A 13,412-nucleotide genomic window follows, 5' to 3' on the forward strand; every position below is an offset into this window, starting at 1 on the left:
TCAGATCCCACACACAGAGCCCCTACCAGGGCACTGCCTAGTGGAGCTGTGAGAAGAGGGCCACTGTCCTCCAGACCCCAGCATGGTAGACCCACCAACAGCTTGCACTATTCACTTGGAAAAACTGCAGACACACAATGCCATCCTGTGAAAGTACCTGGAAGGGAGGCTGTACCTTGCAAAGCCATAGGGGTGAAGCTGCCCAAGCCCATGGGAACCTACCTCTTGCATCACTGTGACCTGGATGTGAGACATGGAGTCAAAGGAGGTCACTTTAGAGCTTTAAGATTTTACTGCCCTGCTGAATTTCTGACTTGAATGGGCCCTATAGCCCGTTAGTTCTGGCCAATTTCTCCCATTTGCAATAACTGTAATTTCCCAATGCCTGTACCCCCATCGTATTTAGGAAGTAACTAACTTGCTTTTGATTTTACAGGCTCATAGGAGAAAGAAACTTGCCTTGTCTTGGACTTTGGACTTTGGACAGTGGAATTTTGAGTTAATGCTGAAATGAGTTAAGACTTTGGAGGACTGTTGGGAAGGCATGATTGGTTTTGAAATGAGGGGACATGATATATGGGAGGGGCCAGGAATGGAATTATATGGTTTGGCTGTGCCACTACCCAAATCTCATCTTGTATTGTAACTCCCACAATTCCCATGTGTCGTGGGAGGAACCTGGTGGAAGTTGATTGAACTATAGGTGTGGGTCTTTCCTGAGCTGTTCTAGTCAAAGTGAATGAGTCTCACTTGACCTGATGGTTTTAAAATTGGGCATTTCTCTGCACAAACTCTCTCTTTTTGCCTGCTGCCATTCATATAAGATGTGACCTGCTCCTCCTTGCCTTCCACCATGATTGTGAGGCCTCTCCAGCTATGTAAACTGTAACTCCACTAAAACTTCTTTTACTTCAGTGTCAGGTATGTCTTTATCACCAGCATGAAAAACGACTAATACAGAGACCAATTCTCATCACCAACTCTTCAGTAATGAAGAACAAAAATAGGTTGTTTGTTTTGAATCAACTCTAAAGCTTTGCTATTGTTTTCTTAATCTATGTATATAGTTCTCAGTTGAAAGTGCATTTGGTAATGCAAAAACCTTCTCCACACATTTTCTTATGGTTATTCCACTGCACTAACTTAAGAATCCTGTATGGTAATAATATATCAGTGTAACAGAAAGAAAAATTAAGAAAAGTAAATGGTCACAGAATACCCAAACTTTAGAGAAGAGGGATTTAATTCAGGGAAGAGAAAATTTTAGTTAGTAAAACTTATTATTGGAGCTTCTTAAAGTAGAATTTTAGACTAAAAGGCACCTATTTGTGAGTTTTTTCTTAACTATTCCAGAGAGATAATGGATACTAGGAAGTGGTAAAGAGAAAAGATGAGAGAATGTTTTAGATGAGGGTCAGAGCACTTGTCATGGACAAAATTGAGAGATGATAGAAAGAGTGAGATCTAATTTTCAATATTTCTCTTGTAGATAATCATTTCTGCACTTTCTTTAAATGATAACTCTTTCTTTAAAGGTCTACAAAAATCTACAGCCGTGTGCTAGTGGATTTGTAGAAAATAAATGAGAAAATACACTGTAATATGGGGAGGTGATAAGTCAATGGGAAAAAAATAAAGATTTGAGAAGAAAGCAGGAGCTTGGAGTAAAGTTGACTAGGGAAATCAAGTATCCCTCTATATTACCCTAAAAGAATCCTCAGAAATTTTTAAATCCCAGTAATACTTTAGGAAAGTGACTTAAATTTTCTTTGCTTTAATATTTATAAAAAGAAGATGAGAATCTTTATCTCCTTTCCCCTGGTTGTGACAAGAATTACAGTACATAGGGCATCATTTCTCAAACCGGTGAAAGTATAACACTAGTGGTACATGAGGTATGTTTACCTGGTGCTGGAAAGGCATTGTTAAAATACTATAATAGTAATATATTACTACTACTATATGTGTACATATATAAAAAATATATATAATTACATTTATATTTATGTAACTATATATTTATTTATATAAATTAGGAAACTCATAATTATACAGAACAAGAAAAAAAGGAAAAAGTGAGTTCATTTTAAAGAAAATCAAGTAGGAAACAGATTATGCAGATTATTTTCTCAGTGTGACAAAATTATGAAAATGAAATATGGAAATCGTTGATAAAATATGCATGAAATTATCTGAAAAGCAAATGGTGGGTAGAGAGCACTCACTAAAAATATGATTATAAAATGTGTAATTGTGCTAATGGCTTTCATATATGTTACTTTACGTAACCCTCTTAGTAAACTGATGAGGCAAGAACTGCTATTCACATTTTCAAAGATAAAGAATAAGTAGTCCACATATGTGGAAAATTGCTTTGCCCAACATCACACAGTAGGTTTGCCTTACCATGAACTCAAACACAGGAGTCCAGAATGCCAATCTTTTTGCATTGTACTCTGTATCATTGCCTCTTCATAGAGTCATTCTTTGCCACCAGTAGTGTGTTTATTTTAGACTCTAAGGTTCAGCAGCACAATATTTCTGGTCAAAATATTCTGTTGTAATATCATGTGTCAATACTACTTTTTAAATTTTAAAAAACATATTAAAATTTTACTAGCATATGTAACTAACTTGACAATAATAAAAGAAGAAACATTTCCAATTAATGTGAGAACTATAAGCTGTTCAATTCAGCCATTTCTAAGCTAGTACATTTGTTTCAGGGATTCTTATTAACTGGAGTTACCACTGGCTCTTTTCAGGTTAAGTGGGAATTACTTCACTAAAGATAAAAAAGAAATCATTATATTTCATAAGACATTGTTGTTAATAACATAACTTAAAAAATTAACTGATTTTATAATGATTTTAAAAATAAAGTCAGAATCACAAATAAATCAAGCAATACATTTAAATCTCATGCACAAATTTGCAATGGTTAGCCAAATTTTGGAGATTAATAAGCATTTATTAAATTTCTTCCTTGTTTGTACTCCCTTTAACATATACTGCAATAAATATAGAAACAATAAAACTTCACTTGACTTCTGCTATGTAGAAAATTTATATAGTTAAGAAAATAATTCAAGAACCATCTGAAAGTAAAATGTGTGAAAGCGCAATGTACAGTGTCTTGAAATAATTAATGAAGAAACTCCAAGTAGAGGAATGTTTGGGTCAACATTAAACAGGAAAAGATGGATGAGAAAACAAGAAGTGTTTTCATTGGTTCTTCAGCTAAAACTAGGCTTTGAATTGAATACTGTGCAGAATAAGTTGAGGAATATCTGTAAGGTTAGTTTAGATGGGACAGGGTTACAGAAAGTGGTTAAAAGCTTGTGGTCCACAGGTTCTCACTTATAAGTGGGAACTAAACAGTGGGTACTCATGGGCATAATAATGGCAATGACAGAGACTGAGAGTAGTAGGGGGCAAGGGCTATATAACTAATTATTGGGTACTATGCTCAGTGCCTGGTAAGCAGATCAGTCATACCCCAAACTTCAGCATCACACAGTATATCCAGGTAACAAACCTGCACATGTATGTACCTCCTGAACTTAAAATCAAAATTGGAATTATGTTTTTAAAAACATTATGTTCCAAGTCATGACAAATATAAAGATGATATTGGTCAGCAAAAAGTCTGCACAAATACCAAACTTCAAAAGAGGAAGGAGTGGCTATGTGGTTCTTTTTATTGTTCAAATATGGTGTACTTATAATGAGAATTTTTGTAAATTATCAGATTAGTGTATATTCACTAATTCAGGAAGGAAATATAGAACTGGAAGAAATCAAGAAATCATATTTCCCCCTTCTCCCTTCTTTCACTACGTGCTCATTGATATTATACTCAACGAAAACTCTTCCAGGTACTAAGGAGGAAGAAACAAAATTGAATTTGAGATCTTCTCTGGTGACAAATGCCCATACATTCGTGGAGAAAGTAATGCTGATGGTAGTACTAATTCAGGTAGATTAGGCTAAATACTATGCCACAAAGAGTACAAAGCGATGAAAATTAATTCTTATTACAAAATAAGGGAAAGATTCTCTGGGGAAAATTGGTTGATCCATTGATTCTACCCAAAATCTCAACAGACTAAGAGGGTCAGAGGGTGAGGAAGAAAGAAAAACATTTCAATATTAGGACCCTGGTAGTAAAGACATGGTGATGGTGAAATTTAAACATCTGCTGGAATTAGCCAGTAGTCTAGTGTTCCTAGCATAGAAGAGACAGGGAAATATGGCAAGAAGAAAAGCTGTTATGGTAAACTGAGTCTAGACTCATGTCTGTATGTGTGCCCATGCCTGTGTGCATCTGGAGGGGTGGGGATGCAATAAGGCCATACTATGTACTTTAAATTTTTTTTTTCCAGTAAGGCTGGGAGGAAAGCTTAAAAGAGACTTAGAGCAAAAGATTGATATAAAAGTAGTGAAGCTCTAATAAGAAAGTGGCAAAGGAAGGGTGGATTGAAGAGAAGAAGCTTTGAAGCTGGTACAGGAGTAAAATTGAGAGGCAATGAGATCCAAATTAAAGGGGAGGAAAAAGTTCAAAACAGACACACATAGTCCAGAAATTCATATGGGACATATAAAAATAACCTCAAATTTTAAATGTGGTGATTGAATTGAGGAACTCAGAAGACTGGCTTTAGGAAATAACATGGAAATTTCTGTTGCTATTCTTCAATTTAGCACATGATATATACTAAATTATTAAAATCTACAATTACAGATGTTTGATACTGAATGCATTACAGCAATTGTAAAAAACAAATTAAAAATTAATATTAAAAATGTAAACGGCCTGTTTTTAAACTCGATTATTACATTGCAATTATTTTTATAGTCTTCTGAATTAATTTCAAGCATCGAAATCTCACAATATACTTAAATGCTTTCATCATTAAAACAGGCTAAGAGACTAGAATATGTTATACTCTGTTCCACTAATTTCAATAGATGCATCCTAAGGCACTGATTACATTTCAATGTAAGGTTATTAACTTAACAATTTTAAATTCAAAAGATTATTTTATCGTAAATTTAGACTAATGCATTTAAGTTAAGAAAAATTAATAGGGTTTCACCACAGTCCTAATTATAAATATATTTAATTTATCTAGGTGGAGGATAAAAGCTATCCTAAAAATTGTCATGTATTAAATTCATACACTCACTGTCTCCTGAAATTTGCCTCTAAATGTCTATCATGAAAACCATGCATGATACAGTTACTTTTTAAATCAAACATCATATATGAATGCAAGTTAAATATAATTGCATAATGCCTCTTAATTACTTGTTTAATAACTGTCAGACCTTATAAGATTGCAGAAATTAAATATGCAGAATTATATTAGCTCATCTATTTCATCCCTTGACAGTGCATGAATATTCTCTGTTAAGAAAAACGATGTTTTACAAAGTGTTTTTATCTATTCTAGTTTTAAATTACTTTGACTTTAAAAAAAATACCTAACAACATTGTTTTGTGGAAGGAATTCATTTCTATATTTTACTCAAAGAATGAGACTAATTTTTTCAGGCAGAATAGGAAGAACTCAGAGAGCAATAGACTGTAAAAATATTGTGTTACACATGTACACATGATGAAATTAAGTTATACTAAGTTAAATCATGATATAAAATATTAATGTAACATGGGATTTAGTATACACATGTTCACAATAAATAGTAAAAAAACACAAAACTTTCTGGAGATAATATCCACAGGACTTGGCAAATGATTCAATGTGGATGGTGAGGTAAAGAAGTTCTGTGAAATATTCAGTGATTTCTGATTTCAGATTTTCATATGAAGATGGGGAGTTACATCTTGTATAGGTCAGAAGCATACATGAATAAGAAAGACAAAGGAAATTAGCATGAAGGTCACATTCTAAGAATGCATGTCTCATTTCTCTGTTTCCCAATCGAAGGCTCTCTTCAGCCGCCCACAGACTTTGCTATACCCTTTGCTGCATGGAGTTCCCTTGCAGGGCTTCAGACCTCAGCCTGCTGTCCTCCAGGGATACTCAAAGTATTTGTAAACTATTTTTGTAAACTATAAATACGTTACTGCTTACCATAATCCTGAGTCGAGGAAACAAGAGTTATGCTCCACATTTTGCAGATGAGCAAATATGGCTTCACAATTTTAAATTATTAGTAATAGATCCAATTCTAGAGACCAGGTCTTCTGCTCCCAGGCAGGCATTCTTTTCTGTCTTCCCTAATCCTTCCAGAATAACCAGATCTTTGGTGCTGCTTCTAATATACGGCAAGTAATTGGAGCTCAACTTGGCAAATCGGGTTAACAGTTACTGCAGACTATTTTCTAATAGATTTATCAGATGGTGGAAACCTTTTAAGTAACATTTGTGTCATTCAATGACTTTTATAACGATATAAAAATCCCACGAAATCTTAGCATAATAGATAATAGCTATTTAGCATAATAAATACATGTATATAATTATTTCAAAAATATGTTAATAATAAAGTTGTATTTCTATAGCAGATAAGAGCATTCATCTGATATCAAAAATGTGCCATTTTAGTAATGCATTTTTTCCATTTTGAAAGAATATGAAATCTAACAATTGTTATTCAAAAATTGTTCTTTAGAAAAAGCTGAAACCAAGGAGGTTTTGATTTTTGCTTTTGAAATCTCAAGGTAATGAAGATAAAAGTTTGACAATTGAGACGTATGGAAATACATTTCATGAACAGAATTTCATATATGACATGCAAATTTATTTAACAAATGATATAACTAAGTACAGTGTGTAGAAAGCAGTTGTACTCAAATGTAGGACAGCTGTAAATTAGATTTTATGATGACACTTAATGCATGCTTTTTTGGGAAAAATTGTCAACTCTATCAGTTCAATGAGCCACTACAGGGTAAAAGAAACTCATCTACATTAAGAGATTCATAATAAGCATAAAATATATAATTAAATACAATAAGGTCAAAAGCTGAATAATCAGATATAGAAGGGTGTATTTTTTCCACTTTCAAGTCAAAATGAGAAATATGATAAGTTTGGATGACAGGTGTGAGGGCTAATTTTCATTAAAATCTGACATTCATTTTGATTATTAAAGTTTCCAAATGACTGACAATGCAAGTATAATATGTTTTAATTTAAAGAACGATTTAAATAATTTAAAAGAAATGATTCTTACGATTATTTTGCAAGGATCTACTTGTTGAGAAGGACTAATGAATGCTATCAAATATCTTCCATAGTGAAGAATAATTAGTCCATCCATTAATCAGGATTATTTTGAAGGCTTACTCTTTTAGTTAAGTTTGTGTTATTTTTATATAGCTTTAGTCAATGTACTATAGAATTTATGAAATTGAACTTTGTATGTGCAGAAGATTTCTAGCTAGCTATTTAGGCACATCAAATGTTTTACTTCAATTTAAAAAAATATATCTTTTCCCACTGTGTGAGAAGAAGTTATACCCTGAAAGACACAAAAATCACCAACACATGAACCTTCTCCTCCAGAATTTAATCATTCCCTTGGAAAAATACACACAAACACCAGTAGTGAGGAAATATCTCTGATGTGGGTAGAAAGGCAAAACTAAAAGAGCATCTAGTCTTTCAGGATAAGAAAATAACAAGTAATGAATAGCACTATCTTTCTTCTCTACTATGGATACTAGTAATAATCAATTTAACCTACTCAATCAATACTTTTTATCACTGATTATTTTTCTATTCATGTGTTTCATTTTTACAATATTTTTGCAGAAATTTAAGAAATGTTCTTATTTTGGGTAACCATCTGAGATTGTAAGATTTTTTTTTTCTTTTTGTACCTTGGTTTTGAGTGCTGCAAAGCTTTCATGTAATTTGAAAATTATTATAAAATTATGGATCTGAAAAATTTACCATGTCCATGTCTCAACATGTGTTAGCATGTTGAAGTTACCCTAGTTCAATTTAAAATATTTCAATGTGCAAATCCTATAAAGTCATTGACTTTTCTTATTTTTTTGTTTTAATATTAATTCACTTATTAATCATTCATGCAGGAAATATTATTGAGCACCAGATAGAAAGAACCTCTGTGGCCAGGCACGGTGTCTCACGCCTATAATCCTAGCACTTTGGGAGGCCGAAGTGGGCGGATCACGAGGTCAGGAGTTTGAGACCAGCCCGACCAACATAGTAAAACCCCGTCTTTAGTAAAAATACAAAAATTAGCCAGGCATGGTGTCGCTCGCCTGTAGTACCGTCTACTCGGGAGGCTGAGGCAGGAGAATCACTTGAACCTGGGAGGTGGAGCTGGCAGTGAGCCGAGATCACGCCACTGCACTCCAGCCTGGGCAGCAGAGCAAGACTCCATCTCAAAAAATAAAAAGAAAAAAAACCTCCGTGCTTTCACAATTGCCATTCTAGTGTGGGAGATTGAAAACAAGTATGGAAATTACAATGTATGTTAAATAACAATATGGATTAAAGATGCAGTTACCCATTAGTCAAAACATGCATCATACACTGAACACTGAATACAAAGGAGTCTGAAAAATCTACTTACCAGGCTTTTAGCTCACATGATAGCAAAAAGAGCACAGGAGAGTTTGGGAACATATACTGGGTGCCAAAAGGAAAAAATCGAGCATAATATATACCACTTTTGACAATATTTAAAATTTTAATTAGCAGCAATGGCAAAAAACAACACGATTCTTGCTAATAGAATAGAATTATTCCCCATACAAAAATTTTCTCAATCCCTCCTCTAAAAATAGAGATCCAAACTTCTATTAGTCACCAAATCTAGCCCTGGGTGATAATGATTCTTGCTTAAGTTCAGTTGCAATTCTGCTTTTATATTTAGTCTCTAAAAATGAATTTATATGAACTACCAGTACCTTATGTAAATTAGTAAGTGAAGAATGAAGGAAAGATAAGAAGTTAGTGGCTGATATATACAAATATGTACATAACAAAGCAAGGAAGAAAACACAAATATGCATAGCTATTCAAGTTCTCTTTCCTTAAATGGGGCACAAAGTTGTAATTTGCATTTTTAACTTTCCCCTTCCACAAGCCATTCATTGTTCCCTTGCCCTCAACCAGCATTGAGCTGGTGTGATTTAAATCTTTATTCCTGGGGAAGGCAGGAGACCTTATTGGTACTGTCTTTAGTGAGTTGATGTTGTTTCCTAAGGGGTGTTAAAAGATATTCCCCATAAAAGGAATCTCCGGAGATTCAGACCTATGCCCTCATTTCCCCGGCGTTAAGCATTATTGTGTTAGACATTGTTCCAGATACTAAAGGGCAGAGTGTTTCAACATTATGCCAGGAAATTGACGTAAAATGGAATTCTGAGATGAATTTTCTGAGTTGACTGGGCTTGACTTGATAACTTTTTGCCACCCTGGTGATGCCTCAATTGACTCACATTCAGTGAAACCATGGTGGTACAGAGAGAATTTCTACCTAGGCTTCAAAACGTGAACTTTCCCTCAGAAAGGGTGACTGCAGTGCTGCTGCGCATCTAACCAGACAGCAGCAAAGGTCACCACTGGCTCACTAATAGGGCTTTATATCCCAGGCAAACCAGCCAGCAACCTGATGGCAGGATTAACTTACAGGAGATCCTTTTCCATATGGAGAGGCCAGAGATTTATCCTCATAAAAATAAACCTACTAGATATGGATTATTTTTCTTCTCAATGCTTGCAATGCTTCTGTGAAAACTACCATCCTTTGACTTCCTGAATGGTTTATTTATTGTAATGATGTCCCAGGGCACTCACAGGGGGAAGATCTAGAAGTTGCTGCAAAATGTCGTGTCTGTGAAGTCCATATGTTTGTGTGCTGCCACTGAGAAAGAAGGCAATGCTTTCTTATTCATACTTTTCTATCTCAAAATTTCATACAAATGTATCTTAGCAAAATGAGAATCACATTGAAGATTTGTTAAAAAAAAAAAAAGTAAGTTTGATAAATATAGTACCAAGGCTTCTAGCCTTTGCAATACAGAAGAAAAGACTGGAAGGTGTGCAGATGACTACCCATTGAAATATGGAAAGGCACTGAAAGGTCTTGCCCAGACAGGTAGCATGTACTTGCTTTGCCTTCTAGTCTTCTGCTCCGACATCCATTGCTTGAGTCAGGTGCCTCTCTTTCATTATCTGCGGATTTAGATAAATCATGTTAATTGGCTAATGCAACATGGAAACTATATTCAAGTTTTAAAATAGGTGACATATTTTTCTTAGGAATTGAGGCCTTCACAAGAATTATCACGAACTCTTCATATACTGAAAATTTGCTAATTAGATGCTAAAGTTTAATGACCCAGGCTTCTGGACAAAGCATCTCATTGTAGGAAATGCAGCTTTTAAGAATACGGTAAAAAGTTTGATCAACACCATAATGCAGAAATTTCAGAGAGGAGTATCTGATGTGCTTGAGAGAATAATATTTCAACACAATATATTGGTTTAATTGAATCTTGAATGATGAGAGTAAATTAGGTAGTAAAACAAATGGGAAAGATGTACAAAGAAGAAAGTGGAATAGATGCTAGTGCAACTGTGAAAACATACGCTCCTAATATAATTGGGATATTAGGGTGAGGTGGGAGACATCCTAATCTCTAGAGAAAATAGGAAACTGCCTTTCCTCTTCCTGAAGAGGTTAAGATTCATTGCACATGTAGGGAAAAATGGATTTCTCAGCAACAGAACTGGATCACTCTAATGGGCAGAGTTGGTTGGAAGGGGAAGTTTTGCCAGTAAGAATAAGCAGTTATACATAGAACTGAAATGGCCATTTCTTAGTTTATTTGCATTGCAATAAAGAAATACCAGAGGCTGAGTAATTTATACAGAAGAGAGGTTTATTTGGTTCATAGTTCTGCATGCTGTACATGAAGCATGGTGCCAGCATTTGCTTCTGGTGAGGATTTCACTTCACGGTGAGATGGGGGCAAAGGGCAGCTGGCATGTGCAGAGGTCACGTGGCAAAAGAAATTAGAAGCAAAAGAGAAAGGAGAGAGAGAAAATGGAGGTGGCAGGCTCTTTTTAACAATCAGTTCTCCCAGGAACTAATAGAGCGACTCACCCATTACCCTGAGGGTGACAACAAGTTGTTCATGAGCGATCTGCTCCCATGACCCAAGTGCCTCCCACTATGCCCCACTTCCACCACTGAGGATCAAATTTCAACAAGTGATTTGGAGGGAACAAATATCCAAACTATATCAGGTTGTATGTTCTTTTAACTTACATCATTTGCTTTTAGATTGTTCCATCTCAAGCAACTGCTATGTCCTGTGTAACCTGGAGGAGATATCCAACCTTAGATGATAAAGAGAAAACCAAGCAGAGCCCATGATGGATAAAGGGCAAGAACAGGCCACAGAAGCATATCTGTCTTAAATTTATTTTCATGGGGTGTTTCTAAGCTTCGGATGGTCCAGCCCAACTGAAAGGAATCAAAATCCAAGGAGAATTTTGTGGGTCATATGCTAGTAATAAATGACAGGGTACATTTTCCAGCGATGTGTTCTATGATATATAGAATTATCAGACTAATAAAATTAGCTACAGAGTAAGTGGTTGGTCAAAGACTTGATAGAATGAAGTCCTTATATTGGCTGTTTCCACCTCAATTCAGGTAATGTCAAAGGCTCTGTGACAAGGATCTATTTTGTAGATCCTTTTACTAGTAAACGGTGTAATACTGAATAAGATGAAAAAACTTAAAGTCTGAATAAAAGAAGTTATCCATAGTAGAATATGTGGTAGTCTAAAAGACCTACTTAACTTCATAATTCCTCATTATTTTGGAATAAATTAGTACTCAATTTTTTTGCAAAGTTCTAAAATATAGGTAGAATTATCTGATAGGCTTTATGTAAGTTGTATAGATAAGGGATCTGCATCTGTGTGCCATTGTATATAGGCTTGGTGCTATTCCCGCCATAAAAATTAGTCCCACAGCTTGGAATTTAAACTTAACGCTACTGTTTTTGATACTACAAAATAAGTTTTCGCTGTGAACCACTGAAAGGATTTTTTCTCTATCTAATTTTGAGGTTTTCCATCAACAGACACTTAGTGGAGATTTTCTTAGTAAGAGATGGTTTTACATTACATGCTGTAAAATCACAGTTCAAAATTACCTGAGTAAATTTATTTTCTTTAACAAGTGCTTTATAAATATTCATTTAAAAAGTCATGTTTATAAATTGAAATGGTCCTTTGTAAATGTCCAATTACAATCATTTGACAAGTATAAATACACTTTGTGGCAAACAATAGCCTGATTTATGCAGATCCCATTAGATATGACTGTGAACTATAATTATCCTAGTGGACTATAATTTTGCCTGCCCAGTCATTCATAGAGTTTAATATACTCAACTGAGACTGGATTTTCGAAGCTGTTTGTAACAGTGGCAATGATATATGTGTCACCACCCTTTCTAATTCTTTTTTTGCTTCAATAAATAATCTCAGCTAGGACCTCATTCATGCCGTTTTGCTCAACTCAACAGGTTCGAAACAAATTGAGAATAATATTAATAGCAAGTCACTTTTGCTAAGCCTAAAGAATACTTACCTTTGTGGGTATTTTTTCTTTTTTGTATATTTGGTCATTAGAGGTTAAACACAATGTTAGTTAAATTATTGCCTTGATGAAGTAAATTGCCTATTTTAGAGAGTATTATATAAGGGTAAGAAATTGCAGCTAAAACATGGAAGTCAAGTTTGAAAAAAAACTTGGATGTTTACTTTCCTATTTTAAATTCATGACCTATCACTTCTCCTGACTTGGTAGATAAAATCGGTCTTTAAAATTTAATATGCTATTAGTAATTGCTCATAGTAATGTATAACCCAACTTCATCACAAGAGAGCATATAAATAGAGTCCCTTTAGCAAGATGTTTGCATGATACCAAAACAACCAGGTAGTTCAGACAAATCACCCAATTTAGTGCCATTCAAAAATTCAGTGATGTGAACACAATATTAAATAACACTGTCCTGATCCTGAACCGTCTCTATGATTGCAGTTTTTGAATTAACATTACAAATAGTTGTTGAATATAGCACTATTTTTCTGATTTTGGATGACACTGTGTAGAACAAAATCTATTGTCATAGAGCAATTATTTCATTTCTTCACAAACTAGCAGGAAGATTCAACTTAGGGCAAGTTTTCTTTCCAAAATTTTGCTAGTATAATATTATTTTTTAACATTTTGTAATATAAAAGTAAGGTAAGCTTACAGCAAAACAGAAAATTATAGAATAGAATGTAGAAATCTTAAATTAAATTTTTAAAGGAAAAATACTTGTTTTACAATGCAAATCATTTTTTATCATACTCATTTATTAAAGCTACTCTTCC

At 34.3% G+C, this 13,412-nt stretch overlaps 1 long non-coding RNA gene across 1 annotated transcript in view; it reads right to left on the minus strand.

Moving 5' to 3' along the window:
- Positions 1-7,848: 7,848 nt before the first annotated feature.
- The window catches only part of LINC02511 (long intergenic non-protein coding RNA 2511), a 416,898-nt gene continuing 411,334 nt past the window's right edge, over positions 7,849-13,412 (minus strand). The window contains exon 4 of the long non-coding RNA NR_149105.1: positions 7,849-10,181. This is a non-coding gene — a long non-coding RNA (long intergenic non-protein coding RNA 2511). The remainder of the gene's footprint in view (positions 10,182-13,412) is intronic.

The sequence above is a fragment of the Homo sapiens genome, chromosome 4, assembly GCF_000001405.40.
Source record: "Homo sapiens chromosome 4, GRCh38.p14 Primary Assembly".
NCBI classification, from domain to species: domain Eukaryota; kingdom Metazoa; phylum Chordata; class Mammalia; order Primates; family Hominidae; genus Homo; species Homo sapiens.